Genomic DNA, 23426 nt, shown 5'->3' on the forward strand with positions numbered 1-23426 from the left:
TTCACTGGAAAGATAGCAAGTGGAAAAAGTGTGCAGAGATATGATGTGAAAATTATATTCAAGCTTTAGCTCCCCAGCACGTCTCTAAGGAAAGCACTATAGGAACAGCTGCTGGAGATATAAACAAAGGCCCAGGAACATCTCTGCCATTCATGTCAGGATCTGAGAGAGCCAAGGGAAGGACAAGAGGGGAATTAGCTCCCAGACATGCTTGAGTCTCTAAGCTGTTACTCCGTGATCCCCATGTTCTAGGTGCAGAAGCATTGCGTCTCTAAGCAATTCCCTTACCACCAGCTATCTAATGCTGTCAGAGGACCAACTATTTGCTGTTAACAGTAATGCTCATTTGAAGCTATTCAGCCTAGATTTTCTTTGTATTAGGTAACTGTTTAATAAATTAATTCCAAACAGTACCTCCCATCTCTCTCAGTCTGACCATTGAGCGCTCTTAGTCAATCTTTGCAAACTTGTCCCCATTTAGTTGTTAAACCTGCTCCATCAACCCAATAATGAATCAACCTATATTTGAGGACTATGGTTTGTGCCTGCTCCAAATCCTATGTTTTCTCTGATTTCAGACCCCTTGCCTCAACTGGATGAACTTTTCAAGCTCAGAACAAATAAGTGTTAAAAAACATTATTAAACAAACATATTCACCTTTCTACAAGTTTGGAAAATAACAGCTAAGGAAAAAGCTTGTAATCAATATTTTTTGTTGTTGTTCTTGTTGTTGTTTGAGACAGTTTTGCTCTTGTTGCCCAGGCTGGAGTGCAATGGTGCGATCTCAGCTCACTGCAACCTCTGCCTCCCGGGTTCAAGTGATTCTCCTGTCTCAGCCTCCCAAGTAGCTGGGATTACAGGTGTGTGCCACCATGCCCGGCTAATTTTGTATTTTTAGTAGAGATGGGGTTTCACCATGTTGGTCAGGCTGATCTTGAACTCCTGACCTCAGGTGATCTGCCTGACTCGGCCTCCCAAAGGGCTGAAATTACAGGCGAGAGCCACTGTGCCCGGCCTTATAATAAATAGATGTATCAATTGTAGCTTACCAGCACCAAAAACAATAGTTAGTAAGAGTGTGGAGTCTAGAATTTGACTGTTTAGAGAAATTATGCCTCATCTTGGGGAAAATTTCCTAATGTGTCCAATCTCCTGTTTCCTTATCCATAAAATGGAGATAATTGTAGGACCTCCTCCAGATGACTATTAGGAAGAGATGATACATATAAAACTCACAGCACTGTGTCAGGCATAAAATAAGTAATCTATAAACAATGTTATTTAACACTTTTATGATAAAAATATAGAAATAGAAAATAATAGTTTCAGTGACAGATCAATGTTGAAGCCTCAATTCAAAACATAATAAAATTGCTCTTTATGGTTCTTACGATGTACATTTATTTCAAATAGTAACAATGCTGTTCATGGTGAAACGTATTGATTTTAAGATTGAGAAATTGGACAAACAAGGCTAGTCCACAATAGTGGGATTGCAGTAGACCCTAGAATATGTATACCACTTTGGAAGGTATAATTAATATGTTTATATGTGTCGTCCCCAATCTTTCCATTCTTTATTACCACCATTATACCTCCATTTACTCCACAGTCCGTCTCTTCTAGAATGAAAGCTCCCACAAATCAGCAATTGCATCTGTATAACCTATTCTGTATGGCATAACACCTATATACTTTTCCAAAAAGAGGTGGAGAGAATATTTATTGACTTAGGTATGTCTGTGATGATCTAATGAAATGTCATGGAACAACTTAAAGTCATAGCCAAAGGAAGAGGAATGTTAATATGTAAGAATTTGCAGATAGATTATTAACATGGAATGATGCCAAAATAGCACAGTAGAAAAACTAAAATAAATTAAATAGGCCTGGATTTGCTGGGTAACCTGGGGTATAACCCCATAAGGATGGTGTATGTAGAAGAAAAGTCAGTGAATCATTAGTAATTCATAAACTGTGTTTTTTCTCAGGTGTTCAAACATTGGAAAGCTATCTTTTGCAACCTGATGCTTTCCCTGGAATATGCAGTGTTTCTTGACTCGTGCAGTAATGGCTGATGGAGTAGGTGTTCAGACATTTTATTTGTTGGTTTTATGTATCCAGGTAGAGAACTCCTGTCTAAAATTATCAAGAGTTGGTGGTGCATTCAGGACAGGAATTTAGATTTTCTGACTCCAAGGACATTTCACCACCCACTAAACCACCCTTTGCCATGAGCTCCCAGGAAGAGCAATTGTTCAGTCTGGTACAGTGAGGGAATAATCTGTCCCTAGCACAGGAGGCTGAACACAGCAGTGAATAAAAGAAGACAAAACCAGTTCTACAATATAAATGACACATTCCATTAATACAAGTGGATCCAAATGAACTAATTTCATTCAATAGTACTTTCACATTCTGTAGCTATATGGGCTTGGATACAAATTGTAATGTCAGTCTGTCAGGAGAGTGGATGGCAGTGCATAATTACAAGTTCTTGTTCAGCACTTCAGGAGCTAATCAGAGCAAGGATGTGAATCTGTAATTTGCAAATGTGCAAAGACAGAGGTTACTATGGCACTAACGACTCTGCTGATAACATTCTTGCCACCACATCATAGGACTGTGAGCACAAATTCTACAAAATCATTTGACCTCCTGTTTAGTCGTTTGCAAGAAACAGCCTGCTGGCAGTACCTAGGGACATTTATAAGTTTAATGTTGTTCAAAAATCTAAAATGTCACTATACAATAAATTAATACTTACATTCTAAGGGACTATACACAATCGTAAAGCAATATATAGAGCAAATTAATACATAAAATACAGAGAAATATAGAAAATTAATATACTACATCATGCAACCTGCTTCTAAACAAGTGTTTCTTTCATAGGACTGAATCAGGAAAGATTAAATAAGGAGTTGAGTAGAAACATATATAGATATGTAGAGATAGAGATATAGGCAATGTTTTCTTTTTTTTTATTTTTATCCACCACCCCCTCCCCCCGCTCCCCACCATAGCATTTCTGCTTTAAACACTTATTCTCTTTCTCTAACAATTTTATTCATTTTCGTTCTTGGGGCAGTAGAAAAACAAAGCAGCATTTTAGAGTTCAGTACTGGCCTAAAATTCAAGCCTCTCTCTAAAAGATTATAGAATTTCGCTGTCCTCTCAGTTCACAGCAGCAAGCAGAATAATTTCTGCTTGCCATTTTCCTCAACTTAGTCCTGCAAAAGTAACATCATTGGTCTCTGCTTCTTTCCTCCCATTATTACCTGATCCTGCTCTACAGCAGATGCTTCCTCAGAGAAAGAAATACCTCGAACATCTCCATCAACTTCTTCATGGTAGTAACCCTTAACCCTAAACTTTTCTTGTGTAGAGATGGGTGCATCATGTTGAGGATTCATTGACCATTCTGTTAATATATGAATTTAATCAATTTTAATTTTAAAGAATCAGGAGTGATTACGTGCATCACAACTTTCAGGTTAAATAATTTTATCATGGGTGCTAAGCTAGAACCATGGCTCACCTGGTCAGATGGCTATAGGAGAGTCAGCACAATAGAAGCTTCAGGCAATGTGAATCCTGCTGCTCCCTACCAGGGATCAAAACTGAGGTCACTGTGTGGTATGTGGAAGTCAAATGACTGCTTCTCTTTAAAAAGTGTTGGAATGATGCGTTTTCTCTCACCGATTCTGTCTAGGGGGTAATGTGCTAGGGTGCAGTAAGTTAAGTGTTAGTCACATATTTGCAGGGTTAAATCTTAGTTCCACAGCTGACTCACTGCACACTCTAGGCAGAATTATTTAACTCCTTCAGTCTTTGTTTCCTCATTCAAAAAAGAAAGAGAGATACTATCTGTGGCAGAGCCTCAGAGGATTGAGGGAGTTAAATGTAAAAATGACACACTGGTGCCTGTTACAGGGAGGGCTCCCTGAGAAGCAGACCTGTGGGCTAAGTTTAGCATGCAGGATGTTTATTAAGGTGTGCCTTTGAGATCAATACCTGTGAAAAGTAGGGAAAGAAAGCAGATGAGGCATAGGGAAAAGGTGGACTGCCACAGGCAACCCAGCGAACCTCACCAGCAGCTCTGGAGCTAAAATAGCTCTTCAGAATTGTCCAGAGTTGGGCTGAGGAGGCCAGAATTTTATTTGTGTTCCCACGATGATGACTCAGTGGATGGGGTCATTTCAGGAAGAGAGCAGGGCATCAACCTTGAGCAAGAAAGGTCACTGCAGCTTAGTCTAACCCTGAAGAGGCTGGCAGCTCAGGGCATCTGTTGACAGTATTCCAAGGAGGCAGGGCGACTAGAACTTTAGCAAAGGAAGATGGCACATCACAGTGATCATCACAGTCCCCAGTCATAAAGAGTAGTTTCTTACATGTGCATACCCCTTAGCCTTGTTTTCATTTCTCCTCCTCCCGCCTTCCTGTCTTCCTCTTCCTCTCCCTTCCTTTTCTTCTTTTTCTTCTTATTTTGATTTTGTTTTACTTTATGGAATTAAACCTCCATAATTCTGTAGTGTGCCAAGTATGAGGGGGAAAAAGTCTCTTTCCCCCATTAATAGATAATGACACCTTGACAGATAAGTGAGCAATTCTGCATTGATTCATTGGGGAAAACTATGGCAGGAAGTGGGTAGCAGTGTTTAGCGTGGCATAAAATACATATGCTATCTAAAGAGGTGGCTTCTTTCCCTTCTGGGGGATTTATGTGCTTAAATCAGGGCCCACAAACTCAAAGCACGCATTTGGGCTAAAGGAAGCTTGGCTAAGAGTAAAAGGAGAGCCAACAGGGAAAGGGCCTTGTAGGCTGTGACCTTTCAAGCTAAACTGCCCCTAGAGAAAGAGAGACTTATTTGAATTTACAGATGCCTTAGGACTCCAGTGAGCCACAGCTCTGGCTCTTTTCCTCTGGGGCACTACAAAGCTTAGGTCTTTGCAGATCAATTAAAGTCATTAGCGCTCCATCTAATGAATGTTGATTTCCATGAGGAGGCTGAGCCAGCTGGCCTGCCCTAAACAGCGCAAAGGCAAGCAGGGTACCAGAGTTAGAGCAAATGGCAATAAGCCACTTGAATTAGAAGGCCCCCAGCTTGCAGCAGAGTTAATGCTGCCTGTTTTCCAGGTGACCTCAATCACTGCCTGGGGCAGACACTGGACTCAGATGCTCTCCAGTCACAAGAGAGTTTGTAAATATGATTTAAAAATTGTCACTGGCTGCTCAACTAGCAGGAGTGTTCAGAAAGCTGCAAGGTATGAGACACTGGATGCACAGATGTGTTTTCATCTGGGGAATGTTGCATTTTTACAATTTTCTCTCCTGGCTATTATGATGGGAGATTTCTAGTTTTTAAATTCAGTGTGCTTTTTAAATTTTTGAATAGATAATAAGATGATTGCAAAAAAAATTAATGCTGCCTCTCATTTCTGTTCTTCATCTACTCAAGAAACCAGTTATTCTTTTTGTGTGATTCTAGAGTTTTCTGATATATGTACAAGCAAAGGAAAGTGTATAGTCTCATATTCTCATAGTCCCACCTACTAAACAAATAACAACATACTGTATATATAATTCTGCATCTCGCTTTTCTTCTCTTTTAATATATCACAGCTGCCTTACCGTATCAGAACAAAGAGAAATTCTTTTTTTTTACAGCTCTGTCATATTTCATTGAATGAACATGCCTTATTTACTTAACTGTTCCTTTACTGTTTGCAGTTACAAATAATACTGCAGGTAACCTCAAATATGTTTCATTTTTTACGCATGTTTGAGAGTATGTGTTGAATACAATCTCAGAAGTAGAATGACTTCTAGGAGGTATATGCATTTGTAATTTCAATAGATAGAAGGATTGCCAAATTGTCCTTGAGAAGTATTACACAAATGTACAGCCCCCCCCCCCTCAACGAATGGGAGCGCTTCCCCACACCTCACCAATAGAGACTGTGGTCACACTTTTAGAAATTTGTCCATCTGGTATGTGAAAATGGAATTTCAGTGTAGTTTTATTTTCTTTTTCTTATGATGAGTGAGATTGTACATCTGTTTATATGTTTAGGAACTTTTTAGAAATCGTTTGTATGAACTTTCTATTGATATTTTTTGACCACTTTTGTAGTAGTTTGCTGCTTTTGTTTTTAATTGATTTCTACTAGAGAGACTAATCTCCATGATATGGGATGCAAATATCCTTTTCCTCCCCTAGTTTTTTGTTTGCCTTTTGATTTTCCTTACAGCTTTTGCCCCTGAGCTTTTAGATTTTATAATGTTGAAGTTATCAGACTTTTCTTTTATGGCATCCTTATTTCGACACTTAATTAGAAGGGAGGACTTCATATTCTAGAGTGGTAAAGTAATTCTTCATGGTTTTCTCTTAGCACTACCATGTTTTGCTTTATATTATTCATTTTCATAATTTTTAATGTATTCCTGTAGAGGACGTGAGGTATTGATACAAATTTAATATTTTTTTTCAGGTGGCTACCCAATTATTTCAATAACTATGTTTCTATAAGTCATCATTTCCCATTTAAGCCTCTGTTATGATATTTTAAATTCATTTCTGCACTTTTATTCTGCTGTATTGGTCTGTCAGTGCACATTTTTCAATTCTGAAACCTGTACAATAGATTTCAGAATCTAAAAGGGCTAATTCTCCCTTATTACTTTTTCTTTCAGAGTTTTCCTGACTTTCCTTTTTTTTTTTTTTTTTTTTTTTTTTTGAGACAGTGTCTCAGTTTGTCATCCAGGCTGGAGTACAGTGGTGCGATCTCGGTTCACTGCAACCTCCACCTCCTGGGTTCAAGCAATTTTCCTGCCTCAGCCTGCTGAGTAGCTGGGATTACAGGCAAGCGCCACCACACCTGGCTAATTTTTGCATTTTAGCAGAGACAGGGTTTCATCATGTTGGTCAGGCAGGTCTCAAACTCCTGACCTCATGTGATCCACCCGCTTCAGCCTCCCAAAGTGTTGGGATTACAGGCGTGAGCCACGGCACCCAGCCCACTTTTCTTTTATATTTTTTTATAGAAGCATTAGAGTATATAAGCAGTTTCTTTTAATAATTTGTATATGTTAGCATATGTATATATAAATTAGATAATGTTAATTTACAAATTAAGGAGAGCTATAACTTCTATGACCTATATGTGTCTTTCTATTTAGTGACATGATCTGTCTCTCCTTTTGCTTAAATTTTATTTTATATAATTTCATATGTCTCATATTTTGTTAGGTTTATCTCTAAAAGTTTTTTCTTCTCTGTACCTAATTATGAATGGTTCTTTTCTGTTATTACTTCTACTAATGAGCTGTGTGTGTATATATACATGAAGATCATGAATTAAGGCATACTAATTCTGCATCCTGCTTCCTTACAGAATCTTCTTGTTAATAGTAATCATTTTCAGTTGTTTCTTCTGAGAACTCCAGGTGCTCAGTCATATCATCTAAACATAATTTTATCACTCTCTTTCCAGTTTTATATCTCCAATTTCTCTTGTTTAATTGCATTAGATAATAATCCTATCTAATAATATAGTAATGATATTGTGGATACTTTAGCCTCGTTACTGACTTTAGTAAGAGTGATTCTGATGTTTCCACAATCATTATGAGCCTGGCTTTTGCAAACATATACATCCCTATGGTTTCTTAACACTGAATGGTCTGGTCCTTACATTCTCAAGTTAAATCCCGTTAGCATTGAGTATTCTTTATAATATAGAACTAGATCCTTGTAAACAATTTAATTATTTTCTTTTTCTATGCCACAGAACAATTAACTTGGCATTAAAATTCTCTACTCTTTAAAAGCTTGGAATGATTTATCTGTGACCTTTTCTGGGCCTCGTGCTTTCTTTTTCTAAGGGTGGCTCAGGTGACAGACAACTTCCTCCATTTCATCAATGGAAATGAATAGGTTTTGAATATGTATCCCCTTTAGAATTATTTTTAGGCAATTACACTTTTCTAGGATATTCTCTATCTCCCAAGTTTTCATATATATTTGCACAGAGTTAGCCAAGACTATTTTTGTCATTTTTCTGTGCTTATTTTCCACTTACTATTTTTAAATTTTATGTATCTGCAATTTTCTTCCTCTTTTTCATGATGAGATAATCTAATGTTTACCCTTTTTAATTTTTTTGTAACAGAAACTTTAAATATATTAATTTTACCACTTTTGCATTTCCTAGAATATTAAATTCTCCTTTTCCCTATATGAATTGGCCCTTTATGTTTTTCTTAAACATATTTTATGTTTGTTTAAAAATTTTGTATTAAAAATATTGAATTGATTTTGTTATTTTCTCCTGTCAATATAAATATGTAAGACCAAAGATTTCCTCTAAGCATGGCTTTTCCTGTTTCCCATAGATTATAGAATATGAGTGCTTTTACATTTTTATTGTTCTAGGAAACCTGCAAAATGGGCTGTATTACATTCGACCCAAGAATTAAGAGAGAGTTTTAAAATTTCTGATTGGAATGGGATTCTGTTTCCGATCTTGTTGTTAACATCTAGTTATTACACTGTGATCAGAAAATGTGTACAATAGTATTTCTTTTTTTTTTTTTTTTTTGAAAAAGTTGCAGTTTTCTTTTTGGACTGCATACAGTTACATTTGTGATTATCATGTGGATTCTTAAAAAGATTTTTTTAATTTTCAATGCATAAGTCTTTAAGTGTACTGTTTGATATACCTTATAAATTATGCTATTTAGGTCAATTATAGTCTTACTTTTGACTACTTCATCTATCATTGAATAAGCAAGATGATTTAAAGTGTCTTATTTCTGTTTTTTGGCTGAATGTTTCTTCAGATAACTCTTAAGTTTTCTGTTTTTTGAATGTTATTTTTATTTCATTTGGTTCATAACTAGTTATAATTCTGACACCTTCATTGCGAATTTCATCTTTTAACATTTTAAACAAAAAGGTCTTTTCTCAATTATTTAAAACCTGAATACCACTTTCTCTGATTTTAAGATCCCTATCGCTGATTTATTTTTGTTTGCATTCTTCCGGCATGCCTTGGTTGAACCTCTTATTTTCAACGTGATTAACAAATTTAATTGTTTTATTTATTTACTTATTTATTTTAATTATACTTTAAGTTCTGGGATACTTGTGCAGAACATACAGGTTTGTTACATAGGTATACACCTGCCATGGTGGTTTGCTGCACCCATCAACCTGTCATCTACATTAGGTATTTCACCTAATGCTGTCCCTCCCCTAGCCCTCTACCCTCTGACAGTCCCCAGTGTATGATGTTCCCCTCCCTGTTCCATGTGTTCTCATTGTTCAACTCCCACTTATGAGAACATGCAGTGTTTAGTTTCTGTTCCTGTGTTAGTTTGCTGAGAATGATGGTTTCCAGCTTCATCCATGTCCCTGCAAAGGACATGAACTCATCCTTTTTTATGCCTGCATAGTATTCCATGTTGTATATGTGCCACATTTTCTTTATCACTGGTCATTAGAGAAATGCAAATCAAAACCACAATGAGATACCATCTCATGCAAGTTAGAATGACAGTCATCGAAAAGTCAGGAAACAGCAGATGCTGGAGAGGATGTGGAGAAGTAGGAATGCTTTTACACTTTGGTGGGAGTGTAAATTAGTTCAACCATTGTGGAAAACAGTGTGGCGATTCCTCAAGGATCTAGAACAAGAAATACCATTTGACCCAGCAATGCCATTACTGGGTATATACCCAAAGGATTATAAATTATTCTACTATAAAGACACATGCACATGTATGTTTATTGCAGCACTGTTTACAATAGCAAAGACTTGGAACCAACCCAAATGCCCATCAATGATAGACTGGATAATGAGTTGTTTTTTAAAGCAAGTCTCTTGTTCATAGCACAAAGTTGGTTCTGCTTTGTGATCTATTGTAAAAGTTGAAAGTCTTTGTCTTTTAATAGGTATATTAAGCCAGTTTATATCTAATTATGTGATAGATATATTTGTTCCTGGTCCTCTCCTGTTACTTTATCATATAGTTTCTCTTTTTCTTATTTTGTTTGTTTGCTTGTTTGTAATGTGTTCTATGCATGTCTATATGTATGTTTTGCTATTTAAGAGTTTGCATTTTCTCCCTTGTCATTTTTACAGTTATAATGTATTATATTTTTAGTGCTCAATATATTTAAACCAGAGCTTCTCATCCAATATACCACACTCAGGGCTTTTGGATAGACCCTCTGGCCATGAACAATCTTGTCTTCTCCTCTCAGTCTCGACAAATATATTATTTGCTTTTTGACCTATCATTTGAAAAATATTGGGAAATGTCACTTTAAGGAATATGCACTAGCTCTTTACTATGAGCAGTGAATCATCTTTCTTAATATTTAATACAGAAAAAAACATGCATGTATTAAAATTAATTGAGTTGATACTTTATATATTATCCTTTGACTCCTAGCAATCAGATAATTTACTTCCTACTTTCTGTCCTCTTCTAACTATTTTTAGTTGTATTACTTCTGTATTGTCAGGGTTTATTCCATTTTCATTCTGGTCTTCAGCATATTATTCCCATTAGGTTAGACATAGTTCTTCTTTAAAAACTATACTCTGTGCTTACCTTCAATTTCATTGTCATAGTTATTCTAATTATGTTTTGGTTGATCAAAGTCATTTCCTAGTAGTTTCCTCAATATTCCCAGTGTTCCTGAAGGTAAATACCATTTGTAAACTATCATTGAGTATAGTTTGGCTGGATATAAAATGTTGGGTCATATTTTGCTTTTTGTTGGGAGGATGTTTCTATAAACTTATTAATACAGTCCTGGTGAGTCAGAGAAGCCTTTCTTGAAGAGGCATTGTCTATGTTTAATCTCTAATGGATGATCGTCACAGAAACATAGACAGAGGAAATGGTTCCAGGCAGAATCAATGGAATTGAAAAAAATCATGGTACTTCTGTGGAACAGGTAGTTGGATGACTGTAATGCACAGGGGAAAAGGTAGACACAAGTTGACACTGGAGAAGTAGGAGGGGATAGAGCAAGAAGAACTTGACAGACCGAGGAGTCTGGATTGCTTCCAGGACAATAATCTAAACTGCAGAGTGGTATGAAGCAAGAAAGGGATATCCGGTTGTAACTGTTCATATTAAGAGGGGTGCACAGGGGTATATGAGCTTTCTCTTCCAAGGAGCCTTTGAGTCCTCATCTCTGCTGTTACAGTACAGACCCAGAATTTCTTATGTAGGAGAGTAAATACATTTATGAAATAATAATGGAATTCATTTTATGCTAGGGCCATATTTCTAACTACCTTCCAATGTAGCAGGAGATAGCAAGACTTAAGGATATCTTAGTCTGACTCTTTTAAAAAAGAAAAAATAAAGAATTACAGTTCTTGGGTATATAGTCTTGTACCTCTGTAATCTGTGAACTGTCTTTCTTCCAAGGATCCCATGGAAACCTTTACAAATCTAGCTGATATTCACTATAGTTCTAAAACATTTCCTTCCTTAGCTGTTCCATGGGGAGTTTTCTGTGATCTCGCAGTTTCAAGCTACTTTTTGGGGACCTTCCATACTTCATTCAGGTGGGAGCTGCCATAGTTAACTAGTTTCGGAGCACAACTCTTTATCAAACACTATATATGTAAAAAACTGCCATGTTAAATACCACTTGTTGCTCTTTCATCTTCAGTCAGCTATATGCAAAATAGGTCTTTACAGGCAAATTTACATTCTATCACAGAAACAGTGACTATCAGATAACCAACTCCCTTCTCAATTCTTTTTTTTGGCTTGTTTTCTTGCTTACTTGCTTGGTTGCTTTCTCTCTTTCCTAGCTGAATAGCATTACAGGCCACTTCTAAAATAAACTGGGTTGTGGAATTTCCACTGAAGGCTGGAGATGAAAAACATACTCATTTACACTGTGTGCGAACTTGGTGGACTAACATTGGTTAAACTTTGAAATTAAGAGATTTTTTTTTCCTGATTTTTGGCCATCTCTTTAATGCAATTTCAGGTAGCCACATGGTTCTTAAAACCCCAAATGCAGCTATCTTCAGTAAGTACAAAATGAAAATATGTTGCATCCTAACAGATAAGAATTTCTTCTTTCTCATGATGAGAGCTGTTACCTAAAGGAGCAAAGCTTTAATGGGGTCTCAGCTTGATTTTGCCATGTTTATATACAAAAGAGATGAGGCAAGCTTTGTTTTGAAGATGTTAATTGATTCTGTCCACCATGCTGTCTAACAGCCAATTCCCTGAAAATGTAGTGATGGAAAAAAAATCTGTTCCAATTACTGTATAAGTAAAATGCTTCCCTTCCACCTCCACTAAAGAAAAAAATGGCACTCACTGCTCAGGATCTGAGATCGACAGCTGATTCTGCACATGCAAAGCCCTGCTGCCATTTGTCATTTCAGGAACTGCTTTATTTTTGTCAAAATGGAAGGAAAAAAAAGGAGAGAGACATTATACAGACATCAGAATTCAAATCATTTGCAACCTGATTTGGGTAATGAAGGCTCAAGGCGGAGTTGAGATTTAGGGACTAAGGTGGTTGTATAAGTATGTAACTTCACAAGAATCTGTTTTAGACCCAGAGCAGATTAATAGCCAGATTACAATGGCATTTCCTGGGCTTAGGAATCTCATTATCCTCTTCTTTCATATTTCTTTAAAGTGGAAGACCCTTCCACTACGGTGGTGTCATTTGAACTCAAGTGTCAGGTTCACATCCTTGTGCCCTGAAGTTTCAAAGTGTCCAGTTGCTGTAGGAGCTTTTTCTATTCTGATATTACTGATACTGAGACTGGATAGGAAGCATACCCTGTTTAGCTGCACATCTAAATAATCGGTAATGAGAACATCCTTGACAAAACTATCTTGCGGAGGAGAGGTCAGGTCTTACCTGCATGCCTGCGACCTTCAGCAAACAAAGGCAGAGATCTAAGGAGAAAACAGGATGTGGGATGTTTCCAGTGGACCTTGGCAGTGGACTTGCTTTGTGTTTGCAATGGAAGAAGGAACTAGAGGGGGGATAACCTCATGGTTGTCTTTTCTTCTAAATTTCTAAGACAACCAGTGAAGCTTGAGGCCTTTTCTCCAGAACTATACAATCTTTGCCTCCAGCAAGCTCTGTTTTTACTAATAACCAGATTGTCAGGTGGAAAACTTTTTCTAAGTGGACCTTACTTCTCTAAGTAAAAAAACAAATCCCCTGAGGCATGAAGACCTCCATTTTACACTTTTGTTATATACTTCACAGGTACCTGAAATGGTTCTGGACAAAGGATATGATGATCGACAATAAAGAAATCAAAGATCATATTCATAATTATAACCAACAAAAAATAATTCTGGGGATAATATTGTCAAAATGGATTCCACTGCAAACAGGCAGTAGGATTTACTTTGACAATATTCTCCCCAGAATTATTCTGGATATCACTGTAGGGACCAAAGGAGAGTTTTTCCCTTGGCCTTCCAAAGATTCTCTGAAAAATCAACTTGCAAAATGCAAATTGATCAGAGAAAAAGTGTACACATTTATTTAATGTGTATACACAGGAGCCTTCAAAATGAAGACCCAAAGATACAGGAGAAATTGTTCATTTTTATGCTTAGGTTCAACCAAGTGTGGACATCTGTGTAGAAATATGATTGGACAAAAAGGGTATGATCTAATGGTAATGGACTGAGGCAGAAAACCCAGCGAGGCCTGGCCGTGTAGACTCTTCTTGGCCTCTCTGAGCCCACATTCCTTTTTTTCTGGGTAGGGGGCAAAACTTTTTCTGAAATGGGGGTCTTATGACCTATAATCAAACAAGGTAGTCAGGCAGTTTCTGCGTGGTCAGTTTTTACACAGAAAGGCAGAGGGAAATTGGAGTAATATTTTTAGGTCTTATGACTAGCTTTGAGGAAGAGGGATCCTAGTTTCTATGGCTAGCATTGGGGAAGAATGGGACTGAGAAACAGGAGGGCAGGGGAAGGTCAGAAAAACTTTTGCTTCTGAGGCCTTCATTTTGGGGTATTGTTTACTGAGCCCCAACACCACCTCGAGGGTTTCCAGGTATATTTTTTAAAGACCTTCTAACAAATGTTCCTTTTATTTATACATCCATTTAATTATTGGTGCTAGTTCCAATGCAAGACTTAAAAAATTCCACTTCTAATTCCCCACCTGCATGGAGGGCACAAATCTCCAACTCATGATCAGAATTTCCTGCAATCCGTATGTCATTTAATGAATTCCACTCTATTCTTCTGGAAATCGAACACTCTAGAAACATAGTTTTCCTTTTAGCTGCAAACCTATTAATGCTGGCAGCCATAAAATAAATGCAGTCACAACTATTCCCCACAAATGAATCAGTCAGCTCAGATTAAAATATACTCTTTGCATATCACTGAAGGGCTCTTCCTGGTCAGCTTGTAAGTGTTCTGTTTTCATTGCGTGGTATTCATTTTCCTTTTAGCATTGCACTTGATTTGTGAAGTAGTGTTGACTGCTAGATTCCCATCATTAACATTAAGTTTTATTGCCTTAAATCTCTGTCTTATGTTCACTATAAATGTTTTAAGTCAACATAATGCTAGCAAGAGGTGCTGGGTTAACAGACTACAGTTGGCATATGATTCTCATTTGGGGCAGGGAATTGTGCAGGGTTATTAGGAGCTTTCTACCTTTTTATTTATTTATTTAGGGACAGGGTCTCACTCTGTTGCTCAGGCTGGAGTGCAGTGGCACAATCATAGCTCACTGCAGCTTCTGACCCCTGGGCTCAAGGGATCCTCTCAACTCCGCCTCCAGAGTAGTTAGGACCACAGGCACATGCCACCATACCCACCTAATTTTTTTTCTTTTTTTGAGACGGAGTTTTGCTTTTGTTGCCCAGGCTGGAGTGCAATGGCGTGATCTCGGCTCACTGCAACCTCCACCTCCTGGGTTCAAGCAATTCTCCTGCCTCAGCCTCCCGAGTAGCTGGGATTACAGGCATGTGCCACCACGCCCAGCTAATTTTGTATTTTTAGTAGAGACGGGGTTTCTTCATGTTGGTCAGGCTGGTCTCAACCTCGCAACCTCAGGTGATCTGCCTGCCTTGGCCTCCCAAAGTGCTGCGATTACAAGTGTGAGCTGCCACCTGGCCCCATATCCACCTAATTTAAAAAAATTTTTTTGCAGAGATGTGATCTTGATATATTGCCCAGCCTGGTCTCAAGCTCCTGGCCTCAAGTGATTCTCCTGTGTAGGTTTCCCAAAGCATGTGGCTAACATTTTTTAATCCTATACAATGTTAGCACTGGCCTCATCTAGTCCTAAGAAGTTTGCTCCTAATCATGTATTCATTAGAATTGAGGAGGAGAATATTTCCCATGGTGAATTTATATGTTCCGCCAATTCAACCAACATCAAATATTTATTAGCTGCATACCGTGTGCCAGATACAGAGCCAGACACTCAATTTTGCAGACACAGTATACCTGCTGTCCTAGAGTTTAGACTCTAATGAGGGAGAGAGATAATAAACAAGGAAATAAGTGTATGTAACAATGTACAGCTAGAAACGCTGGGAAAGAAACGAACGTGAGAGACACTTATTGGAATTTAAATGCAAGCCACTCCACTATATCTACTAGGTGTGTGTGTTACAAAATACAAAAAAAGAAAAGCCTCCTGGGAGGGTAGCAGGAGTTAAATTACTCAAAATTAAGCCACAGTTTAAGACAGCAAAACATAACAGAACCCAGAGATGCCCCAAGGCAATACAAAGTTAATTATCTAAGTAGTAGTAACAAGAATAACTGCTGGCCAGGCACAGTGGCTCACGCCTGTAATCCCAGCAGTTTGGGAGGCTGAGGCAGGTGGATCACCCTGTCAAAACTCTCAGGAGTTCGAGACCAGCCTGGCAAACATGGTGAAACCCCGTCTCTACTAAAAATACAAAAATTAGCCGGGCATGGTGGCAGAAGCCTGTAATCCTAGCTACTCGGGAGGCTGAGGCAGGAGAATCATTTGAACCGGGGTGGCAGAGGTTGCAGTGAGCTGAGATGGAGCCACTGCACTCCAGCCTGGGCGACAGAGTGAGACTCTGTCTCAAAAAAAAAAAAAAAAAAAAAAAGACTGCTTTAGGATTTAAGGAAGAGTAGTGTGGCGGGTTAGAGATGGTGGTTAGAAGAGGCTTTCTAGAGGATCCCAAAATGATGAGGAGATTGTGGATGGAAAGTGGTCTCTTAAGCAGAAGAAAAAGCATGGAAGAAATACTAGGGTCAGGGAAGATAAAAAATATTACGCTGTTATGAACAATCAATTATATAGGGAAAGTAAATAATGTTAGAAAGGTAGTTTAAAATTTTCCTTTTTTGCTTATCATGTTAGAAAGAATTTAAAATAGTGGCCAGGCATGGTGGCTCATGCCTGTAATCCCAGCACTTTGGGGGGCCAAGGTGGGAGGATCACTTGAGTTCAGGAGTTCAAGCCCAGCCTGGCCAACATGGTGAAACCCCGTCTCTACTAAAAATACAAAAATTAGCTGGGCGTGGTGGTGCACCTGTAGTCCCAGCTACTTGGGAGGTTGAGGCAGGAGAATCGCTTCAACCCGGGAGGCAGAGGTTGCAGTGAGCCGAGTTTGTGCCACTGTACTCCAGCCTGGGCGACAGAATGAGACTCCTTCGCCAAAAAAAAAAAAAAAAAAAGAAAGAAAAAAGTAATGGCAGTAGTAGCAGGAGTAGTAGTAGTAACAGATAAAACCTATCATTGGCAGCAACCCAGGCAAGCATTTATTTCTATATCTTGCTGATGGGGTTGATGGGGTTAGCAATTGCTATAGTCTCCCTAGTAGGGGATTTAGGAGACAGATGAAAAACTGTTAGACTATTTACGTATTTAACCAAAAGGTTCCATTTTGGGGTATTCATCCTATGGAAATAGTCATGAAAGTAGGTAAAGATTTAGTTCCAGAGATGTTTATTATAGTTTCTTGTGAACATTCTTATTTGAAAAGAAGATAAGTGCCCAATAATATCAGATTGATTACAGTACACTCAAGCGGTTAGCACAGATATTCATCATAGCTGTACTTGATAACAGTTGTTACTATTATCATGTTCTTGTGTGAGAGGTAAAGGGAGATAAGATTAAACTTTTTGATGTTATAAACACCATCACATACTTCAATCTAATATTTTAGAAGAATATTTAATACTATTTTAGGTTTACTGTTGAATTACATCAACAGATGTTTGTAAAACACAGAGCAAAAAGTAGAGTAAGTTATACAAGATCAATTTAGTCACATCTCTATGTGAGTATGTTTGCATCAAATAAATACTGGAATGATATATGTGTGTGTATATATATGTATATACAGTATATTCAAATGTGAACAGTGAGTAGTGAGATTACAGGTAATTTTGATTCTTTTTGTTTGTTTGTTTAACATTATGTTCTAAAATGTGTATGGTAAAAAAAAAAAGTAGTTTTTTTTTATTTCTAAGACTAGAAAATTATTTAGCAAACAAGTGGACCAAAGATATTACAGATAGCATTTCCTAAACATGATGTGCCTTTTGTCATGGAAAAAATGGATGATTTTGTTTTCTTCTTCAGCTTAATATGCGATATAATAAGCTCAGTCATCGAAGAGTGAAGTGCAGCATACTGAAAAAGTATGATTTGGTTTCACACAGATCTTGGTTTAAATCCCAGCTTCATCTCTCATTAATGATCACATCCTGAACAAGTTAATATGTATGTCTCGGTCTTCTCTTTAGAAAGCTGACAATGGGGACATGTATGTTAAGTGACTAGCACAGCGCTTACCAGAGGACCATTCTCCCGCTGTAGCAGGACGAGCCGCAGACGAAACCTCTCAGACACCAAATTGTAAAAGGAAGGGCTTTATTCAGCTGGGAGTATGGGCCAGCTACTCTCTCAAAATCCGAGCTCTCTGAGTGCACAATTTCTGTCCCTTTTAATGGCTCACAACACTAAAGATTTCACGTGAAAGGGTGGTGATTGATTTGAGCAAGCAGGCGGTACGTGACAGGGGCTGCATGCACCGGTGGTCAGAGAGAAACAGAACAGGGCAGGGAGTTTCAAAATGTTCTTCTATACAATGTCTGGAATCTATGAGTAACATCGGTTTCTAAGTTATGAGTTGATTTTTAGCTACTGGGTTTAGGCCAGGCAGGCCCAGGCCTGGTTTCGGGCCTGGCGCCGGGCTGCCTGTCTTTGATTTTACTTCCTTGTTGTTTTTTCTTAAAACAGGTACTGAGTATAAAACAATATAAAACAATATGAGAGGGTCTCTCTCTTCCCTCACCACATATGTGAGAAAAGAGAAAATATGGCTAAGTCATGTACTTAACTGAGTATTAAAACACATGTCTTACCAGAAATAGCAATTTTTCAAGTGTGTGAAACACATTAAAAATAAACTTTGAAACTCCAAAAATCTTTAAAATATGTAAATTCATTTAGACTTTACTAGAAAAATAAAGTTATCTCTCTGAAATTTTGTTGTTAAATATTTGTAGAAAAGGATGTAAAGTGGAATGAGGTCTAGAGAGAGAATTTTGATGGATGTGTGTATTTGAGTCAGTTTTCATCCCACTGAATCTTTAGTCAAATCAAATAAAAATGAAGGTAATTTGTCAGCTTGCAGAATCATGCCAAGCAAAGTCGAAAACTGCCAGCCTATGTTCATTCTCATGGTTTGAACAAACCGAACTCCAAGTAATTCATTGTTTGGTTTTGAATTACTTATATTCACTCTGTTGATCCCATTTTGCTTTGAAATTGTACTTTCATGTTTATTTTCTGTAGTCCAGAATGGAGGTAGGAGGAGGAAATATCTGGAAATACCTAAAAACATCTTGAACATACCTTAAAAGTAACATGTTTAGGAGGTCCCTGAGTTAGTTTTATTAGCACCTCTGAGTGTTACAGAAATGATTGCAAATCTCCAAACTCACAGACATTTGCCCAGAGTCCCCACCTATAATCATGTGCTGGGAGAGCTTTAGTATAATTATTAGGCCAGTGTAGGACAAGCAGCAGCGTGCACATAGTCACATTTAAAGTGAGGATTTAAATGACAACAAAAAGCAAAGCAAAATGACACTCTATATAACTTGGGATTGTTTTTATTTAAATCAAAATTTAAAAAATTTTAATTATACATATGTCCTGGGGTATGAGTGGAGGGGTGGCTATGGGGATGGGTACACAGGCATGAATGAACACAGGAGACTATGAAAGATGCTTCAGATGCCCCCCGGACAAAGATGGAGAAGGAAATGTTTTCTGTACCATCTCTATATGGGCAGTTCAGCTTTCTCTCTGTGCTTGTTTTCTCTGCTCTCTCTGTTTGGATTTGAAGAAAAAGAGGTTTTTTGTTTTTTTTTTTTCCTTTTTCTTTTGTCTCTATCTTATTTATTTTTTAAGTAGACTGTCAAAATTTTAGCTGTGATTGAAGAAAAGAAATAAGACAAATAAAATTAGTGGGAAACCAAGGAGGGGGAAATGGGATTGCCACTTCCTCTTGTACAGAGTCAGCAGTTTTAATACCTGTAAACAAAAAGTTCTTTGCTGGAACTCTTTTTAGAATGGAAAATGGGATGAATAGGTACAGCATTATCAAACCATTTGTTGTGCTCCCTTTTTCTTGAATTGATGGAAAATATAGAAATAACACAAACCAAAGTTGACACTCTTGAAATGACTTGTCCTTAGAATTTATTGTTTATCTCACGGAAACATGAAGAAATGTCTTCATTAATGTTTTTGATCTCAGAGCCCCATTTCCTTTTATCTCCCAGCAGAAGTGTTGCAGTGTCCTCACATTTGGATTGAGAATTTAGATAGATAAGAATTCAACCCTCTAGTCCCATTTACTGCAATTGTATTTAAATACCAGCTTAATTAGCTGTACTCATCCTCCTTCCCAATCCTCTTTGAAGTAGGAAAGTCCCATTGCTTCCGTTTAGCTAATGCTATGCTCATACCCTAGTTTTTAAGCTTTGTAGAAAGTACAGATATGACTGCCCCATGTGATCTCTAAGAAGTCTAGATATTTGATCCACAGAAGCATTTTGTTCCATGGAGGACGTGGAGTTTGTTGCTTTGGATTTGAGCTTCATTTAAAGCATTTGCTTATTTTTCATCTTGCAAAATTAATCTAAATCAACTTAATGAAGGGTAGAACATTGAGATATATACCTGTTAATAGTAGAATAATATGACATGGCACAGTATCCAGGTATGGAAAAGGTGAATAGGGATAGTGTTATGAGATTTTTAGAGTACGTTAATTTTATAAAGCATGCTTATGGGAAAAGCCAAACATTGATGACATTTCGCAGAAAATGTTATGTTCAGGTTTGGCAAATACCAATAAGGTCAGAGAAAAAGCAATATGAATCAGTATTAAGAAAATTATAAGATAGTGTATGTCTAGGTCATGATCTTTAGTATCATCAATAAAACCACTAAGGATGCCTCACTATAGCTGTGAGATGGGTTCGGACCATGATATCCAGTTTAATACTATTTGGGAGCAGAAGTAACTAGATATATTTATCCTATGATATTTTACACTTATTGGACACCTGTTGAATCTCTGTTGGCTTGAGATTTAATTTGCTAAGAGAAAAGCAACTGAAGTTACTAAGGTAATAGACATAACATATGATCTAAAAATTGAGAGTACGTTAATCAAGGGGAGTGAGCAGAAATTATTCTCGTCAATCATCCATGTGTCCCTCTATATCCTTCACCTTTATTGCTGTTAGATTTGGAGGAAATTCTGAGCAATGTTCCGTGATCAGGGGTGAAAAGTGTCATTTCTGGGCTGAGGCAGTTTATAGTCATTTGCACCTTTTCTATACCACTCTCTTTCCCTGCCTTCTCTTCTCAATGTTCTGAAAATCTTGTGTTCTAAAGGGACTTGAATAAGATGGAGATAGAGTGCCAACCCACATTAGCATTTATAGCATATATGGAGCAAGAAATGAACACGTGTGTATGTCTTTATGTAAGTTACAGATACTTATCTATGATACCTATCCTGACTATTGCAACATGTTAAGCTTTCCACTGATAATTAAATTTCATATATAAATAGATAATTAATTTTGATATTTAAAAAATGTAAGTTACAAAAGCACTATGCTACTCTGAGAGGAAATTGAGAAATACTAAAGTTTTCTTTCATGGAGCCCCATAGTTGGACCTTCACAAAGGCTTCAAAAGCTAGTTTCCTAACCAGTAAAAGTCAGCATGAGACACAGTGGGCTGAGATAACAGGCCCCTCAGCCTAGGGGTGGTTTGCTGAAGTAGGAGGCCAGAGCCTCTGGATGAGTCATCTTCAGTTGTTACGACGGCTTACTCTGTGGACCATGCAAATAATATCATTTTCGATGTGTTCCATGATGCGAAAAAGTTAGAGAAGTACCATAGGTCTTTGTATCAGGCACCAATATAACCACCCCTACACTCCAGATCTTCTTTCCCCATACTCATTTCTCCACTCTCCTCCAAGTCCTGCCTCAAACGAGTTATTATTTTCACATAAAACTGAGAAGGAACTGTTGAAATGACTGACATCTTCAGCAAATAAAATAGTTGTCAAATTAATAAATAAATGTCACTTGAGGCACTTCTGAGCTTCTCAATATGTCTTCTTTTGGAGGACTATTTGTTGGCATAGGAGAAGATTTCCTAGCAACCCTCAAAATCTTTCCAATTAGGAACCTAAATTCTATTCCCAAAGGTTATGATATAAAGAGGAAACTTGAAAATTTGTAACTGAACTCTATTGAAGTATGGGGTATTTCAATTGAGTAAGCCCAATATTTACCTGCATCACAAAAAAACTAGATTTTAATAATTTCTTATCAAGTGTTTATGCCATGTACCATATTTAACATATATTTACTCATTAGTTTTTCAAAATTCTTATGAAATGATATTGTTTTTATACCCATTTTACAGATGAGAAAACTGAGAGAGACCTTAAGGAGCTTTCTCATGATGCATGGCTAGTTAATGGCAGAACTCATGTTAAAGCAAGCAGTCCAACCCTGCCTGGGCTCTTAAACAGTGGAGTCTGCTGTCTCCTTTTAATAGGATGAAGGTGAAGTTCTCAGCTTGATATTTTTGTTTCATTCAGTGCAAAGTGTCATCTTCTACCCCAGTGCCAAAAATTACTTCAAAGAAAACAGCTTTTTGACTACCGACAGTTATGTACAAGAGGTGTGATTTGGGGTTTTAAGAGCTTACTTTGACACAGCTCAGATCCCTTTTTTGGTAGTGAAAATTATGCTGTTATCTCCTAAAAAACATCATCTGCTCTGTCCCCACCTCTTTAATTTGACAGGTGATTCCATATCCATGTAAGAGCATTTTGGTGTCTGAAAAACAATAAAAATCGTCCCAGTAAACCCATGTTCTATTCAAAAAATTTTGGCATATTGATTGTCTGGGGTAAGGTTCAAAATTGCATAAACTTCCTTGCCCCACAAATCACTTTGTTGCATCGACAATAATAATCACAATTATTGATAGTAAAATAATTTGGCCATTCTATGAATAGTAAGGACTGCACATGTTAAAAAGAGGCAAAAGAATGGATAGATGATCAGAATCCATTCTCAGTAACCAGAGCTAAGGAAACAGCTCAAGTAAAAACGCTCAGCTTACTTAATGCTCTATAGTAATTAATAGTAATTGATAACAACTTGTAGCAATTAAGATCTAATGCACTTAATTTGCAAATGTACTCCTTAACTTTGAATACACTTTTTTCTCTAAGGCGAAAGTCTAGAATTGGAGACTCTTGGATTCTTCTTCCCATTCTTTTCCTTCTTCCTTGGAAAAAATCAGAAACAATCTCGAAATGTGGCCTGTTGGAGCTGGAAAAGAGCTTAGAGATTGTTCTAGTACAGTTGTGTCAAACTACAGGTGAAAACTTTGAATCTTGGAGAAGACCACTGGTTTATTCCACCTCTCTAGCCATCGGCATGAATGTCTATTGGTATACTTGGTTTAGCTGCCCAATTTATGGCCAAGACTGGGACATGATATGGTACAAAATATGGTGTTTTTGTATAAAGAGCTATCTCTTGTTCCTTCGTTGTAAGGGGACTGAGGGCACAAGAGTTCTAAGACTGATAATCCCATCAACTTAATATATTAAAAGAGGTTTTATATCTAAAGCATCCAACACAGTGTCTGGCCTAGAGGAGGCACTATATCTATAGAACAAATAAACGAATGTTCGAACATAGCCTCTCTAAATTCTATTTGAATGACTTAACACAAAGATCAGAAATTTGCATAGCTGTTTGTGTTAGCCCTTTAAAACAAAACTCTCCTAGGGGAACATATGTGAATTCTATTCAGAGTTTAAA

The 23426-nt window shown here is 37.4% G+C and overlaps 1 protein-coding gene across 56 annotated transcripts in view, besides 1 other annotated feature; it reads left to right on the top strand.

Moving 5' to 3' along the window:
* The window catches only part of NRXN3 (neurexin 3), a 1697919-nt gene that overhangs the window by 1340809 nt on the left and 333684 nt on the right, over positions 1 to 23426 (top strand). The window lies entirely within an intron of this gene.
* Positions 4597 to 5237: an enhancer, noted in NCBI's record as "NANOG hESC enhancer chr14:79982121-79982761 (GRCh37/hg19 assembly coordinates)". NCBI's record gives its function as "activates a minimal SCP1, AML or CMV promoter by ChIP-STARR-seq in naive H9 embryonic stem cells {active_cell/tissue: H9 hESC(naive)}" and the evidence as "EXISTENCE:reporter gene assay evidence [ECO:0000049][PMID:30033119]".

The sequence above is a fragment of the Homo sapiens genome, chromosome 14 (assembly GCF_000001405.40).
Source record: "Homo sapiens chromosome 14, GRCh38.p14 Primary Assembly".
Lineage (NCBI taxonomy): Eukaryota > Metazoa > Chordata > Mammalia > Primates > Hominidae > Homo > Homo sapiens.